Source organism: Homo sapiens, chromosome 1 (assembly GCF_000001405.40).
Source record: "Homo sapiens chromosome 1, GRCh38.p14 Primary Assembly".
Taxonomy (NCBI): Eukaryota; Metazoa; Chordata; class Mammalia; order Primates; family Hominidae; genus Homo; species Homo sapiens.
In genome coordinates this window covers 16,651,686-16,669,204 of record NC_000001.11, presented here as the reverse complement: position 1 = coordinate 16,669,204, position 17,519 = coordinate 16,651,686, and the positions used below count along the sequence as shown (strand labels likewise).

General features: G+C 44.3%; 1 non-coding gene across 1 annotated transcript, besides 2 other annotated features; it reads left to right on the top strand.

Moving 5' to 3' along the window:
- The first annotated feature begins 2,256 nt into the window (after window positions 1–2,256).
- On the top strand, window positions 2,257–2,420 carry RNU1-3 (RNA, U1 small nuclear 3). Its single transcript, NR_004408.1, has one exon. It is a non-coding gene; the product is annotated as an RNA, U1 small nuclear 3 (small nuclear RNA).
- Window positions 2,502–3,468: an enhancer, noted in NCBI's record as "NANOG-H3K27ac-H3K4me1 hESC enhancer chr1:16992232-16993198 (GRCh37/hg19 assembly coordinates)". NCBI's record gives its function as "activates a minimal SCP1, AML or CMV promoter by ChIP-STARR-seq in naive H9 embryonic stem cells {active_cell/tissue: H9 hESC(naive)}" and the evidence as "EXISTENCE:reporter gene assay evidence [ECO:0000049][PMID:30033119]".
- Window positions 11,475–12,283: an enhancer, noted in NCBI's record as "H3K27ac-H3K4me1 hESC enhancer chr1:16983417-16984225 (GRCh37/hg19 assembly coordinates)". NCBI's record gives its function as "activates a minimal SCP1, AML or CMV promoter by ChIP-STARR-seq in naive H9 embryonic stem cells {active_cell/tissue: H9 hESC(naive)}" and the evidence as "EXISTENCE:reporter gene assay evidence [ECO:0000049][PMID:30033119]".

The following is a 17,519-nucleotide window of genomic DNA, read 5'->3' as shown; positions in this document are numbered from 1 at the left end:
ATTGTAGAACCTAAGATTGGCCTCTTGAGATGTCTTTTCAGGCTTTTGCATTTCTGACTGCTGGAAGGCACCATCTGGCCCGAAAATCAACCAGTCCCTTAGCCCCCACCCAGAAGCTGACTCCATGCAGGAGGGCCATTTTCCACGCCCCTGTGATTTCATCCCCAACAATCAGCACCACGCAAGCCCTAGCCCCCTCCCCACCAAACTATCTTTGAAAAACCCCTTACCTCCAAGCCTTCAGTGAGATTGCTTTGAGTAATAACTCTGTCTCCCACATGTCGTGGCTGGCCTGTGTCAATGAAACCGTTTCCTGCAGTGCCATGGTCTCCATGAATTGAGTTTTTGTGTACATTGGTCAGGAAGAACCCATCAGGCGGTTACATCTGCAGGATGGTGCCAGTTCTTTCCACAAAGGCTGGTCAGATACCCAGAAAACATTTCTCCACTACTACCTGGACAATGTGTCTCCCTGTCAATCTCCAGGGAATGGGGCCTGGATCAAGTATTTAGTATTCAGCAGTTACTACACTGTCACCTAATCCCTCATTTTCAATATTTTGCCATGCTTCCAGTGGCCTAACTGGCCACCATGCCACAGAATCTTTACTTTATGATCTCCAAGGAGAACTCTCCACTCGATGTTTTGTGATTTGAGCAATGGAATAGAATCTGATACTGGTGGGCTGGGGGAGGTCCCTGGACACTGGTGGGATCTCGACCCCAGCCGTGGTGTCCAGGCTCTTGACACCATCGTGAGAACAAAGTCAAAGATGAGTCAGCAGATAGTGAAAGAAGAGATTTATTGCAAAGCAAAAAGTACACACTCAAGAAAGGGGAGCTTGGGCATACCCAAGAGAGAATAATGGGTTCTGGGGTTTCATCTTGATGGGTTTCTTTAACCAAGAATTGGAATATTCACGAAAATTCCTGGGTAAAGGTGGAGATTTCTTGGAACTGTGGTGCCATTTTTACATCAAACACTGGTCTCAGAACTGTCATGGCACTGGCGGGTGTGTGATTTAGTATGTTAATGAGCATATAATGAGGGCCTAGGTAAAACCTCCATCCAATCCAGCACCACGTTGGGTCCACTCAGCCTTAGCCAGCTTGGTCCACACCCTGGTTTTTCAGCGTCTTAACAGCCCACAGCCTCAAGTCATGTAAATCTGCTGCCTAGAATTTGTTATCCTGTGACCACCCTGTAGTATTCCTGTCTGAAATCTACTTGTAAATATTCAAATGGTCTTTCACTTGGGCATTCCAACTTTGCTTACTTCACAGTGTTTCCTGCGTAATATATAAGAAAAGATGATCCAGACATTTGTTAAACATCTCAAATAAGATGTAGCCCAGGTATTTGTGTCAAATTTGGATTATTTTGGTTTCGTCTTTGCAGAATATAAAAAACTAACATGAGGTAAGCACTAAGGTGTGGAGATGGCTGTGCAAGAGATGACAAAGTCCAGCACCACGCTTGAGAGTGTCCAATCATCTCTTCTGGGACAGCATATTTTTCTACAATACGGATTTTTGAAAAAAAAAACAACATCAAAAAAAAAAAAACCTACAAGATTCATGAAACTGGACAACTGTCTTTATAACATTACCAGTGATAAAACCAGTAAGGACGGCTGGTTTGCAGTCATCTAAGCAGCCTCTTTACTTTCATAAATATGGTTTCTCTCTGATATTAAACGGCTTCCAATTGCAAGCGGAATGCTGCATCACAAGGATAAGGATGTGAAGAGAACCGGTTTCTTTTGTAATCCGAAACATTCTAGTCTGCGAATTAAAAGCCATTATTTGAAGAAGGATGCCCCGGCTCCATCTGGCCACCGAAAGGTTGCTCCTTAACACAGGCTAAGGACCAGCTTCTTTGGGAGAGAACAGACGCAGGGGCGGGAGGGAAAAAGGGAGAGGCAGACGTCACTTCCCCTTGGCGGCTCTGGCAGCAGATTGGTCGGTTGAGTGGCAGAAAGGCAGACGGGGACTGGGCAAGGCACTGTCGGTGACATCACGGACAGGGCGACTTCTATGTAGATGAGGCAGCGCAGAGGCTGCTGCTTCGCCACTTGCTGCTTCGCCACGAAGGAGTTCCCGTGCCCTGGGAGCGGGTTCAGGACCGCGGATCGGAAGTGAGAATCCCAGCTGTGTGTCAGGGCTGGAAAGGGCTCGGGAGTGCGCGGGGCAAGTGACCGTGTGTGTAAAGAGTGAGGCGTATGAGGCTGTGTCGGGGCAGAGCCCGAAGATCTCATACTTACCTGGCAGGGGAGATACCATGATCACGAAGGTGGTTTTCCCAGGGCGAGGCTTATCCATTGCACTCCGGATGTGCTGACCCCTGCGATTTCCCCAAATGTGGGAAACTCGACTGCATAATTTGTGGTAGTGGGGGACTGCGTTCGCGCTTTCCCCTGACTTTCTGGAGTTTCAAAAACAGACCGTACGCCAAGGGTCATGTCTTTTTTCGTATTGGTTTGTGTCTTAGTTGTTAATCCTACAGTGGAGGCCTGGGGAATAAGAAGTAACATGTGGCCTGCACGCCATAGGAGAAAAAGCGAGCATCAGCCGTATCGGCTTTGTAACACAAATTAGCTATCGTGAAGTCCGCTCAGCTCTTCCATTTCTACCCTGGCTGCTTTTTGCAGGGATTGGTCCGTGGTCTCCAGTCTCTTGGGTTCTCACCCTGTGTGAAAATCTTCGTGTTTTTCCCTACCCCCCAAGTCACCTCTTACACAGCCTCTGCTTCCAAGCGCAGCCCCCACAGGAGTTTGTAGGATTTCTGTGCTAGCGGGGAGTGTGTTCTCACCTCATAGAGCCAGGTAGAAATTATGCAGATGGGCGCTGTTCTCTGGGAAGAAAGCAGGGCCTTTGGGGCTCTCAGTGTCCCCGTTGGGTTGTAGACATAACACTCTTACTTTGCGTAGGGGAACGGCTCTGCCGGCCCCCAGGTGCCCTAGCGCATATGCATGGAGGCCCGCAGGTCAGAACCGCAGTCTCACCTGTCTTGGCGGAAATGCCCTGCGATCCTCCCGGAGATAGAAGGCGGGAAGTTTTATGAGGAGCCGGTCCAGTTTCCCTACTATCTCCTGCAGTTCATATATCTAGTGTTTCTTTAGACTTTAAGCGACTGCTTCATGTTTGATGTCTCACTCCCACATCCTACATCCACTGCCAGCCAACTTTATAGATAGCACCGTGACCCATCCTTCCCACCCCCAAGAAGCCCTTTCCTATTTCTGGTGCCAGTGTCCTCCCCAGTCCCTCTTTCTTCAGGCCCTCGCTTATCACCTTCATGGACAGAAAATACTTAGCTCTCTCTCAACCTGAGGTTTACACCTGACACGCATCAGTGCCCTGGCAAATTCCTTAATACCCCTTCTCAAATGGCACTGTAAATCATCTCTTTTTAACTCCCAGAACTATCTAATTGGTTTTGTCCCTGCACTACATGAACACTAGTATTCCACTACAGAGGAAAACCCCAGGCCTAGCGATAGCGGTTCTGGGCATTGTGCCAGCCTCTCCCAGGGTATGTTTTCTGACCTCACCTACTTTTGATCAGCTGAGGTCAGGAGTTCAAGACCAGCCTGACCAACATGGCAAAACTCCGTCTCTACTAAAAACACATACACACGCACAATAATAATAATAATGATAATAATAATAATTGCCGGGCGCAGTGGTGTGTGTCTGTAATCCCAACTACTCGGGAGGCTGAGGCAGGAGAATCGCTTGAACCCGGGAGGTGGAGGTTACTGTGAGCCGAGATCGCGCCATTGCACCGCAGCCTGGGCAACAGAGTAAGACTCTGTCTCAAAAAGAGAAAAAAAATTAGTGCATCTGAGACATATTATTGGAGACAGTAGAATCCTGCGTCCAACAGGCACTTGGTGCAGATCTGAACCCATTGAGCTATTGGCTCATGTTCCCTATGTTCTATTAAGTATCATGAGCAGAAATTGAGCTCTTTGGCTTTTACCCACTGAGTATGGCTATAGGACAGGTCTCTCTCTCTCTCTCTCTCTCTCTCTCTCTCTCTCTTTCTCTCTCATTCTTTGCATCATTATTTTTTGCCATCAGTGTGGGTTTTTGGTTTTGAGGTTATGAAGTGAATTTCTGGGGACAATCTCTGTTGGGTCGTGTTAACAAGGATCCAGTCCCTGTTTGGTGATACATGACAGCTAATCTGGTCTGTGAGTCTTCTTTATTGTCTATTTATTGTCCTGAGAATAATGGCATTTCCTGATATTTGAGACTGCAGCAATGATAAGTTGTTCAGATCTTGTCTTTCCAATGTTTGGTAAACATTTTATAGGCCCAATTTTTGTCAATATCTGCAAGAGTGGCATCTCTGTTACAAGAGTGATCTTACTACTCGATGTCCCCCCTCCCACCCAACTTCATTTCCTAGGGGCTCTTGGCTTTAACGAATTTACTGTATCTAAAAGACATCTTAGTACAGGAAGAAAACTAAATCTGTAGCATGTAAGGAGCAGTTTTATTTGATTGGTATATTCAGGTTTCTAACCAGCTGAAAAATTCAAATACATGCCCTTTAAGGATTAAGTTTAAACCACACTACAGAAAGAGAAAAGATTTATATGATCACATATAAGCAATGGAATCAGCAATATGAGTACTTTTCACAACTATACAAATCAAATTTAATAATCTCCAGAACATTAAGGAAGTTCAGCCCTTAATGGAAATGAATGAAAAGAAATTATTCACCCACTGTTACATGCCCTGGAAAGAGAATGTCCTGCCAGACTCAAAAGAGTATCACAATATTACTCAGATTTTCAGCAATGAAGGCCCTCCGAGGATCTAATGATGTTCATATTTTCAGTTTATTTCCTTCACTGATAAACATTGTTAATAGATACCATTGCCTCTGTTTGCACTTTAAGTGATGTTACTTAGAACAATTCGTTTCTTTAGAATGCACCCTAGTTTGGTGGAAGGAATTTTCCTTCTTTTCAAATATAGGATATTTTCTCATGAAACAAATTGGCATACTCTTTCAGTGAAGTGAATAGACAAATTAGATCTCTAAAATTGTAAAGGAGTCACTGCCCCAATTATCTTAGGAACAATAATACTCACTTATATAAAATTAAAATAAGAAAATTAAGCCAGGTATGGTGGCTCATAGCTACAGTCCCAGCACTTTAAGAGTTGGAGACCAGCCTGGGCAACACAGTGAAACCCCTGTCTCTACAAATTTTTAAGTATTAGCTAATTTTTTAAAGTTGGCCGGGCATGATAATGCATGACTGTAATCTCAGGCTGCAGTGAACTATGATTGTGCCACTGCCCTCCAGCCTGAGTGACAGAATGAGACTCCCAACTCAAAAAAAAAAAAAAAAGGAAAGAAAATTAAGAATTTGTTGAAAATTGTTTTACTACAATGCTAGGCTGCATGTCTTGCACCTGTACTCCCAGCAACTCAACAGGCTGAGGCGGAAGGATTGCTTTAGGCCAGCAGTTGGAGACCAGCCTGGGGAACAGGGCATGACATCATCTCTAAAAAAATACAAGGCAAGCTGAGCCAGGAGGATTGCCTGAGCCCAGAAGTTCCAAGTTGGTCAGCTATGATTGCCCCACTGCACTCTAGCCTGGATAACAGAGCAAGACCCTGTGCCTTATTTTTAAATTTATGTTATTTTTTTACTACTTATGCTTATTTATCTATTTATTTATTTTTGAGACAGAGTCTTGCTCTGTAGCCCAGGCTAGAGTGCAGTGGTGCCATCTCAGCTCACTGCAAGCTCTGCCTCCCAGGTTGAAGCTATTTCCCTGCCTCAGCCTCCAGAGTAGCTGGGATTATAGGCACACGCCACCACGCCCAGCTAATTTTTATATGTTTAGTAGAGACAGGGTTTCATCATGTTTGCCAGGCTAGTCTCAAACTCCTGACCTCAAGTGATACACCTGTCTCGGCCTCCCAAAGTGCTGGGATTACAGGTGTGAGCCAACTCGCCCAGGCTCCTTATGCTTGAAATGTGAGGTTTCATTAGGGAAAAATTTTCTTGTTGAATTTCTAACATGAAAAAATAATAGATTTAGCTGTAGATTAAATTAATGGTCCTGGTAGTTTGGTACAATAAAATAAATGAAGTTGATAGCAGAGAGGAATCTTTGATGCTTTTGAACAATTTAAATAATGTAATATTTTTTATATAAAGACATGAAAAAGTTCATTACATTATTATTATATTTATTTATTTATTTATTTATTTTGAGATGTAGTCTCACTCTGTCGCCTAAGCTAGAGTGCAGTGGTGCAATCTCGGCTCACTGCAACCACTGCTTCCCGGGTTCAAGCAATTCTCCTGTCTCAGCCTCCTGAGTAGCTGGGATTACAGGCACACACCACCACACTTGGCTAATTTTTGTATTTTTAGTAGACACGGGGTTTCACCATGTTGGTCAGGCTGTCTTGAACTCCTGACCTCATGATCCTCCTGCTATGGCTTCCCAAAGCGCTGGGGTTACAGGCATAGGCCACTGCACCTGGCCCATTACATTATTTTTTAAAAATCAGTGTGACTCTTTTGACAAATTAGAATGGTTTAATAATCTTGGTTAGGCTGGGCATGGTGGCTCATGCCTGTAGTCCAAGCACTTTGGGAGCCCGAGGTCAGGAGTTTGAGACCAGCCTGGCCAACATGGTGAAACCCTGTCTCTACTAAAAATACAAAAATTAGCCGGGCATGGTGGGGGGCTCCTGTAATCCCAGCTACTCAGAAGGCTGAGGCAGGAGAATTGCTTGAACTCAGGAGGCAGAGGTCGCAGTGAGCCAAGATCACGCCATTGCACTCCAGCCTGGGGGGGCAACAGAGTGAGACTCTGTCTCAAAAAAATCATAAATAAATAAAAATAAAGTATAAAAAATTAAACTTACGTGTTCAAATACATTAAATATATGGCAATGAAAAGGAGGCCTAGCATGACTGACTGCATTTTGCTCCTAACCCTTCCTACCGTGTGGTGACATCTTCCAGGCTAACTGCTTTTTCTTATTTCTGCACATAGGCCAAGCTATCTATGGGAGGGATTTAGCTTACAGTTTAACTTTAAAGCACAGATGATAATAATCCCTTCCCCAAACTAACTCCTGAGAAGATAGAGAGGTTGTATACACAAGTAACAGTGTTATGCTGAAGATTTATAAGAGAAGTGTGACCTGACAAAGGACCAACAATTTTCACCATCCCCTTGGGCTCTCACTGCAGCCCATGTCTGTCATTGTCAGACCTCTTCACCTCAATCGCCTCCTTCTTCCTCCCTTCCCTAATGTACAAGGAGCCGGAAAATAGTATTAATTTAAGATGGTTCTTCAGGATGTTACTTCACCATCTGTTCAGTTTGGTGGCTCTCTGGAATAAAGTCACCTTCCCTGCCCCTACACCTCAACTCTCGACTTATTGGCTGTCATGCAGCAAGTGGTGAGTGCAGTAAGCCGAGATCACACCACTGCACTCCAGTCTGGGTGACCCTGTCTCAAAAAAAAAAAAAAAAAAACAGAGAGAGAGAGAGAAATTTGGTTTTTGAACCAGACAAATTAAATAGGAGACTTAATTCCAATGAGACCTAGAAATGTCTAAATTTCTAAAATTTCTAAAAGAACTGAGAAAATTGCCTCCATTGAGGAAGTAAGCTGAAGGAGGTAGACTGTCATGTTTTCTGATTTGAGAAATATTGAGGAGGCTTTGTCTCTTTCACCTCCAACTGCTCCTTCTCCTCCTGCCCCTGCACCTGCATAGTCTTTCTTACCTGAGCCTTCCTGTCCTGCCTTGCCTCTTCTTCCATCACCATCACCTAAGGAAAGTCCCCAGGGATCTGGTCCCTTCCCTGAAACTTCTGTTCTGACAGCCCCTTTCAAGGTAAAACCCAAACCCACAGGAAGAGGGGAGCCTACCGTTGTGTATACCACTTCACCAAAACGTGAATTAAGAATATTATAAAGGACTTCCCTGATCTAAACTTAAATACATTTCACTCTTCTGTTTCTAAAGCAGGCTCCAAGATCCTGTAGGCTTTGGCAGAAAATTTGACTTAACTGTTGAAACCTTTGAGCCCAAATATTCTGATCTTTATCAATTAACTCACATGCTGGTGAAGAAGGGAAGGCCACTAACTGGTTGCAAAAGGTAAATTGGAAGGATTTTCAAAAAGGGACTGAAGCAGAACATGAAAGGTTCACATTTTCACCAAATATCTCCAAGTTGCCATTCCCGAGGTCCTTCCTAAAAATATAGATTGGAGGATAATTCAGCATTGTACTAAAAAGCCAGACAAATCTGTCTTTGCTTAACTAAAATGGTTTGAGAGCCAGGTGTGGTAGTTCATGCCTGTAATCCCAGCACTTTGGGAGGCTGAGGCGGGTGAATCACTTGAGGTCAGGAGATTGAGACCAGCCTGCCAACATGGTGAAACCCTGTCTCCACTAAAAATACAAAAATTAGCCAGGTGGCTACTCAGGAGGCTGAAGCAAAAGAATTGCTTGAACCCAGGAGGTGGAGGTTGCAGTGAGCTGAGATCCTGCTACTGCAATACAGCCTGGGAGACAGAGCGAGACTCTGTCTCACAAAGAAAAAAATAAAAAGAAAAAAGAAAAATAGAAAAAAAAATAGCAGGGTAGTAGAAATATAATGCACACAAGAATGATAATCATGAAGACAATCTGATTCTACAAGAGTAAGGGAACCTATTCCATTAGAGAGCCAACTGAAAACATCAAATCCCAGTTCACACCCCAGGGTGTGGGGTCACGTGCCTGTAATCCCAGCTACTCGGGAGGATTAGTAAGGAGGTTTGCTTGAATTCATGAGGTCAAGGCAGGAGTAAACCCTGATCATGCCACTGCACTCCAGCCTGGGTGACAGTGAGACCTTGTCTCAAAAACAAACAAACAAACAAACAAACAAAAACCCACAAAACCAAACAACAACAAATTGCCACCTCACTCTGAAATCACAGTGGCAAACATCACTTTGCTATTGACAAATTAAAAGAAAAACACTCCCTCTTGCTATCAACCTGGCCTCTTGCTCTAACATGTCTGACCCATGGTTTAAAATGCCCAAAAGCTGATGTCCTCAAATTATAATACACTTACCTATTCTGCACCAGCATTTATTTTTGTCTGGAGGAGATCACCATCCATGGTCCTGTAAATGTCTAACAGCATGGAATGATGAAGGGCAGTGTCTTTTAGGATATTTGGTTATATCTATATATATGGCTCTGAAGAAACCCAACACTGGGCGAGTTCCCTCAAACTTTTCACTAGGCATGACCACTGCTGTATTTTAGATAGAGATTCTGTGGGGCAAAACCTGAGAATTATCTGCCTGGCTATCTAGAAGATAGCTCCTTGCATTTTTTGGGGGAGAACACTTTTGCTTCAAGGGAGTGTTTCCTCCCAGGATTAGAAATCTTTCTGTAACCTCAGGAAACATTGCTGATGAAAACCAGGCATGGTGTGCTGTACAACTTGTAGTAATAAGGCAGAAGTTAAAAGGAAAAGACAGGTTCCCTGTACTTGGCTGACTCCAAGACCTGCCATAGATAGAGCCCTAGTAGATCCTCGGTAACACGATCTGAAAAGTCAGAGCCGCGAGGAGTGAGTTCCGGAGACTCTCTCAACACAGTAAGCCCCAACAAAGATAAGAGGAAAAAACAACAAATGCCTTTACTACCTTCTCTTTCCCCCTTCCCATTTCTAATTATTCAAGTTTTGTTAAGTTCTTGATTTCCCTTCAGTGCAGCTGCAAGGTCACCAGCTATACTTGCATTGCAAGACCTGTGACAGTTTGATTAGCTGCCTTTGTTCTGCTTCTATAAGCCCTCTTGCCTGCCCCCGAGTTTCATGCCATCAAATTCCCGCCGCGCCATTCAAACTAGCCGACCCCCTTTCAGAAGTGTCTATAAAGTTAAGCCCTGTCTTTGTTCGGGGCTCAGCCTTTGGATTTTCATCTGCTGGGCCTCAGTGCAGTCAATAAATCCTCCTGTTCCACCCATTGGTCTCTCTGTTCTCCTGATTCCCACAACAGTAGTAGGGGACTGCGTTCCCACTTTCCCCTGGTCTTTCATGGTATGAATAATGGACAGCATTTTTTTTTTTCACCTATAGTCGCAGGCTCGGTCTCAGTGATTGTATGCTGTGGTCAGCTGTTTTTGTTTTTGTGAGACCTTGCTTTCTTGTTTACTGTCCTGGGACAGATGTCTGTAGTCACTTGTTTCCTCGGGAGGCAAATTTCAGTCTCTGTCGGGGAGGTCTCCCATGTTAGCTGTGGTGGTACTTGGCAGGCAGAGCTCAGGGATCTAGGCTTCCGTGCTTTGTAGATTGCTCAATGGTCCCCAAGGCCTAGTGGCTTTTAACACCACTTGAAAACCTTAGTGTTTTTCCACTGTCCCCAGAGTCACCTCTTACACAGCCTCTTTTTTTGTTTGTTTGACTTTTTCTCTGAGAGACAGTCTCACTGTATCTTGGTTGAATCGATCCTCCCACCTCAGCCTCTGGAGTAGCAGAGGCACGAGTCACCACAGCCGGCTTATATCTGTTCTTTTTGTTGTTGTGGTGGCTGTCTTGTTTTTTTAAGAGTTGAAGTTTCTCCATGTTGCCCAGGCGACGTGCTCCCGGCGAAGGAGGCCGCCTGCCTGGGGGCGGGCTGGAGCCACGTCCCAGGGCTGGGGGCGCTGTGGGCACTGTGGGTGCCGCACCCACCGCTGCCCGGCACCGGAGGCCAAGAGAGCGTTCCCGACGGGCTCCGCGGATGCCCCGCCGCGTCCTGCTGCCCATCCTGCCCGGGTTGTCGCGGGCCGGGGGCACGACAAGAGGCCGGGGTCTGCCCGGACGCAGCGGCCTGCAGGGCGCAGCTGTCCCTCCACCAGCCGGGGTCCCCTCGCTCAGCCCATGAGACAAATAAATGAATACATAAATAAATAAATAAATAAAAGATGGAGTCTTGCTCTGTCGCCCAGGGTGGAGTGCAGTGGTGCGATCTCGGCTCACTTCAACCTCTGCCTCCCAGGTTCAAGTGATTCTCCTGCCTCAGCCTCCTGAGTAACTGGGATTACAGGTGCATGCCACCACACCCGGCTAATTTTTCGATTTTTAGTAGAGACGGGATTTCATCACGTTGGCCAGGCTGGTCTCGAACCCCTGACTTCAAGTGATCCACCCGCCTTGACCTCCCAAAGTGCTGGGATTACAGGCATGAGCCACTGCACCCAGCCAGAAGTGGGCATTAATATGCAGGCGCCGTATAGGGCAACATCTGTGTGCACCTCTTACAAATCTTAATGCTGTGTATATGAGGGGAGTCCTTCGTGTCCCCCTGGGGATGTTTGAGGTTGCCTGTATGTGTTATGTGTGTGCATATTTTTAAGCTCAGATATGCATAGGCGGATTGACACCTCTGTTTGAATGTATTCCCATGAGCTCATGCCATTAATTCACCATCACAAGAAATATTTACTGAGCGTGAGCCATGCCATTCCACAGACACCATTATAGCACTAAGATACAATGAGGAACAAAAAATCCAGGCTTTCTGAGCTCACACTGGGGTGGGGGCATGGTGGGAAGACACAGGCATCAATGTAATAAACAGAAACCACGACAGGGCTAAGTGTTCTGGAGGAGAGGCGCATGGTGTACTGAGGCCCCTGACGTAGACCCCAGGTGCACCTTTGAGCTTTGCCTGCATGGTTTGGGTTTGTGGGCTCACCTGCATGTGTCCATGCATGCCCCATCTGCGTGCCCGTGCATGGCTGCATCACCCCATGCACACGTGCACTGCCCCTGGGCTTGCCCACATGTGCTGCTCCCCAGGGCGCCAGGCTATCAGCCTACAAGGCATTGTGGGTCTGGGCCCAGCCTGCCACCCCCTACAGAGGCCTGAGCCTGCCTTCCCAGGAGGCCCAGGACTCTCACCCAGGGCCCTTCCCTGCAGCTGGAGCAGGCTCTGTGGCTGCAATCTGGTGAGCTGGAGACGCAAGAGCCCAGGGGGCTGGTACTCCAGAGCGTGGAGTTGCGGAGGCAGCTGCAGGAGGAGCAGGCCTCCTAGTGGCGCAAGCTGCAGGCCTACCTGGAGGGCCAGCAGCGGCAGGCCCAGCTTGTGCAGCGGCTGCAGGGCAAGGTCAGGGCCACCCATTCCTGCTCTTTCCCTCCCACGTGTTCACTTTGCCCTGCCCCCACCCCTGGGGCTCACCATCAGCTCCCAATCCCCAGATTCTCCAGTACAAGAAGAGGTTCTCGGAGCTGGAGCAGCTGTTGGAGAGATCCGGAGAGCTGGAGCAGCAGCAGCTGAGGGTGGGTGCCAGGGTGGGGCAGAGGCAGGCCCTGCCCTCCACCTGCCCAGCCTGATGCTTTAACCTCTGTGCCACCCAGGACGCAGAGCACAGCCAAGACCTGGAGAGTGCCCTCATCTGGCTGGAGGAGGAGCAGCAGGGAGGGCCAGGGCTGGCAGCATGGCCCCCTGGGCGAGCGCCTACTGATCCCCTGTGCCCCATTCAGGAGTGCCAGCCTGGCCCAGGTGAATGCCATGCTCTGAGAACAGCTGGACCAGGCAGGTTTGGCCAACCAGGCTCTGAGTGAGGAGATACGAAAGGTGACCAGTGACTGGACTCGCAGCTGCAAGGAGCTGGAGCAGTGGGAGGCGGCATGGAGGCGCGAGGAGGAGGTGGGCATGGGGGTGCAGGGAGGCCGGCGATATAAGAGGAAGATAATGCACAATTATGCTAGTGAGACTCTCTTTTCCAATAATGTTTGCACTTCTCAATACTACATTTAAAAAGGAAATAGGAGCACTTGAACGGTTAAGTAAGAAGATGAACAAAATTGAACAGAGGAAAAATAACTGTCTGAAGACATGTTGAAAATACATTTAAAGACAGTCTGTCTGAGACAGGAGCTGAGCTGGCCAATCCATCTTTTAAATAATTGAACATCATTCAGGTGTCAAGTATTTGACCTGGAGCCTGGAAGGGGAGGAGAGAGTCCAAAAAAAAGTCAAAATATAAAGAAAAAAAATTAAAGAACTTGTCCCACAAATCAGGCAACCAAGGTCTAAACTTATACCCTCTGCCTGGGTAAATTGTTGTTGCTTCTTTCTGTGACTCTTAAAAGATGTACCATATACCTCATTTAATGACTTTGCTTTATTCATGAAAACTCTATCCCCATGGGAAAAGCTGTTAAATGAAAAAAGATTTCTTTTAAGTAGAAAAATTATGAAAGGATTCCTTCCAACCCTCCATACCCAAAATATCTCAAATGAATTATGTATCTATCAATTATCAATATATATCAAAATATACCAATTAAAAATATCAGTTAAACAATACGTCAATTGAACTATGAAAGCAAGCTTATTTAAGTAGCAAAGAATAACGTGAAGGTTAGTAAGTATAGCTTATACTTAAAATACAATGAATTGAAAGCTCATGGCACTTCATAGAGTAGGAAGAAGAAACTTAATAGAAAGTGGTAGTTGGGCGAGAAGGACTGCAAGGGAGTTATTTGGAAAATGCATTTTTTATTTCTGCATCATTTTGTTCACAAATTATTCCTAATCTTTTGTGAATTTGTGGATTTCTTGAACTCAAACCAGACTTAAAAATACAGTTATAGCACAGAAAAAAATCTTTAATGGCAAAATAAAAGCTAAGCAAGAGAGCCTTTCAAAACACATGAAAATAACACACACATACAAAAAAAAAAGAATAAAGAGATGTACAAGTGACACCTCCTCAACCTTCTCACTTGGTGTACATATGCACAGTAAATTATTTTGGGCTCAGCCAAGCATGGGAGCAATTCAAATAGATCCATATGATATTCTCTGATTAGAAACTCTTGTGGAGTAAGTTGGTGAGTGTATCTTTGCCTAAAACAGTCATGTCAAAATATAGCTTCCTATAGCATATTTATTTAGTATCATTTTGGTGAAAAAGTGGTTATACAGAATAGAAAAGAGTTGTCCAAAACTAAGTGGTTGACCTTTCCAGAGCCATTACCTGCAGAATTGTTATGTAAGTCTGTTCCATACTCGTAAAGGAATACTCAGCTGACCCAACTGATTTTCTCGTGTTTTTTCCTTCAAGGGCTAGTAGAAGTCTATATGTTGTGGTGGAAAACAACCTCAGCCCTATAGTCCAACATTTGCCTATCAAAACTTGTCCTATGATTTATAAAACTAGAACCTCACTGGTAAGTCACATTCCTAGAGTCTCCCCCATCCCTAACCCCAGTCACGGAAAATAAATCAAATCATTGTCACTCTTTCTTAACAAAGAGCATACATTTAAAACTTGAGTAAAATTACAGGTACCGTCTGGGGCCTTCAAGGGGGAACTTGAAGTCTCAATACCGCAGTTGTCCAATCAGAGGATCCAAGATGAATATACTCAAGGACTTTATGCTTGGCATCCTCTGGAGACAGTACATAACCACCAGCTTGGTTTAACTGGAGATTCATTTGGGTTAGGAGAAATTATGTAGGCAATGTACTTAGTCAATGGAGGCCTCATGCCTGAAGACTTACAAGAATCTGAATTCGTATGTTACTTTTCCTTTAATGGAGTGGAATTCCAAATGAAAATAATCAAACAGCATGTGCATAAACATTAGATATAATACCCACATTTACAAAGCCTTTATAGATATGCAAGTGTTATTGCGTCTGTCCCTAGCTTCTGTACAGAATTTAATGGGTAGCTGTTACTATTTTATTGCTGTATAAAAATGAGGAAACTGATAAGTTGTCTAAAGGTGCACAATCAAAACACATCAAAGCCATTGTGAAATACAGGTCCCCGGATTTCAAAAACAGATCTTCTGCTTATAAATTCAGTCTTTTTCATACTGCCATAAACTCCAGAATGGGAAAACAAAGTTACTATCAGAAAAGCTTCTTTTAGCTGGGCGTGGTGGCTCATGCCTGTAATCGCAGCACATTGGGAGGCCAAGACAGGCGGATCACTTGAGGTCGGGAGTTCGAGACCAGCCTGGCCAACATGGTGATCTCTACTAAAAATACAAAAATTAGCTGGGCATGGTGGCGGACACCTGTAATTCCAGCTACTTGGGAGTCTGAGGCAGTAGAATCACTTGAGCTGGGGAGGCCGAGATGGCTTAGTGATCCGAGATGGCGCCACTGCACTCCAGCCTGGGTGACAGAGTGAGCCGACATCGCGCCACTGCACTCCAGCCTGGGTGACAGAGTGAGACTCCATCTCAAAAGAAAAAAGAAAGCTTATTTTTTCCCCTAATCACCATAATATTCACTATTAAGTGAGGGAAATAGAAATAATTTACTTAGCAAATCCTTTCTAGTTCAAATAATTTCTATACAGGCTGTGCAAACATAATAATGAGAGATTCTTTTTAGTCATCTTGCTTTATATCACTAATTACACTCTTATTTAATGATATTTTAAAGAAAAACGTGTTTATTTTCAAGTAGAAAACTCATATCTGTCCACCAAGGAAAGCTGTAACAAATGTAAAATACATAAAAAAGATAACTGCTAAATTTCTAAAGCATTCCAAAAAAAGACAAATAGAAGGGTGTCAGATTAGGAAAGTATGTCTTGTAAGGTGTAACGGACAGACTGATGAGCTTAGAGATGTGGATCTCAAAGTGGTTCTCAGAGCAACAGCATCAGGGTCACCTGGGAACGTGTTAGAAATGCAGATTCTCAGGTACCATCCCACATTTAATGAATCAGAAGCTCAGAGTAGAGACCAGCAATTTGTTTTAACAAGTCCTTCAGGGATTCTGATACAGCTGATGTTTGAGAAACACTAGCTTTAGGTAAACGTAAGAGGGTCACGTTAGTATTTTTAAATCATTGGAAGTTGGTTTGTTTTGTTTTTTCTTAAGTGGGACTCATTTATACTTCAATACACAGAATGGATATTTAGAGGAAGTCGTTTTTGACCTAACACAGATGAGCACTTCCAATTGAATAGCGCTTTCTGATAATGGGGCTGCCCACTACAAATGAATAACTGGGTTTCTCTAGGCTGGAGCTGCAGACAGGTCACTATGTGTATGGAGGATTGTATTAATATGATCGTGGCTCTTTATAGCTCTGCATTACTAATATTCTGTTTTAAAGTCTCTCCTCAATATCCAATGTCTCTGTGTGAATGATGGTAAGGAGTGGGTAACAGTAACAATCATCCTGTTGTTGACAACAGATGATAAGAGAAAGCCCAACTTTACACTCTGTATAATCTTACACCAATGCCCCATTCCTCGTCTAATTTTTTTACATGTTAACACATGACCTTGGCATTACTAAATAAGAAGCCCTCTCACTTAGAACCCGATGCAGTATGATAAAAATTATTTTGAGAACAATCAGGAGCTCTAGTTTTCAATTCTGCTTCTCTTCTCAAGTAGTTCTGTGCCTTAGTTTCTTCTTTGTAAATTTAAATGGTTGGAACAGAGGATCTGTTAAGTGTGATTCAAGCTGAAATTGTATGTAGCCCACACTGAGTTTCTCTGCTATACCCCTAACCCATTCAACAATCACACCACCAGTTTTCAGGACTCACAGTAGGATAGCCGTCTATCATTTGTTAATAGGTGTGCTCTTTCATCCAAACTAGAAACTCATGATTTCTGCAGTTTTTTATTCTAGCAAGGTTCTAGGTGCTGGCCTGGAACTATAAAACGAACATTTCACAAAAAGTTATGACAATATACAAGGGAAAGACAATTTCTTTGAATATCCATAATCTCAATATGGAGTCTGGCTGTGGATGGCCAAGAGATAGTTTCCTTAACTGGAAAAAGCTTTTAAATGAGGCTTGGTGGATGATATATCTTTGCATCATTACAAAGAAGAAAAAAGAGAAATCTCACAACTGAAGAAAGTGAAATTCACTTTACTTAATGCGGACCTCTGTCTCTGGTGTGCAGGTCCTCTGTGTCCAAAGATAATTAGCACTTTATAATGCTAATTATTATAATTATGTCTGAGAAAAAAATCATTAGGGGGTAGGTCCGTTCACTGATTTTCAACTGCCCCCTCTATTTAAAAATAAGGTCATTTTTCTATGAAATACCTTTAGGAGCTCAAAGCAGAAAGAGGGTTATAGAAAATCCTGCGTAGGTATAAGCCTGAGTTTTTAATATTCTTATAATTCTGTGATGTGTCTGGAAACTGAACCGGGAGGAAAACAGTGAACCTATTTAGTCCAGGAGACTAGAAATCAGGACTCAGAAGAGTAAACATTTCTGTAATAGTTAGTCCTCAAATAGTCATTCATTGACCTTCCACTGGGTGTCTGGCAATGTGCAAGCTGTTTCTAGATGCTACCTCATGTAACAACCATCAGAGTTGCACAAAGCAAGTACTAGTACTCCACTTTCATAGACAAAGAAGTAAAATCTTAGAAATTAGCTGCCCAATGTCATGTATGTAGGAAAGGAAAGCTGCATTCTGATCCATATTTGCTGGCTCCAAAGCACTTGTTGTAAATACTT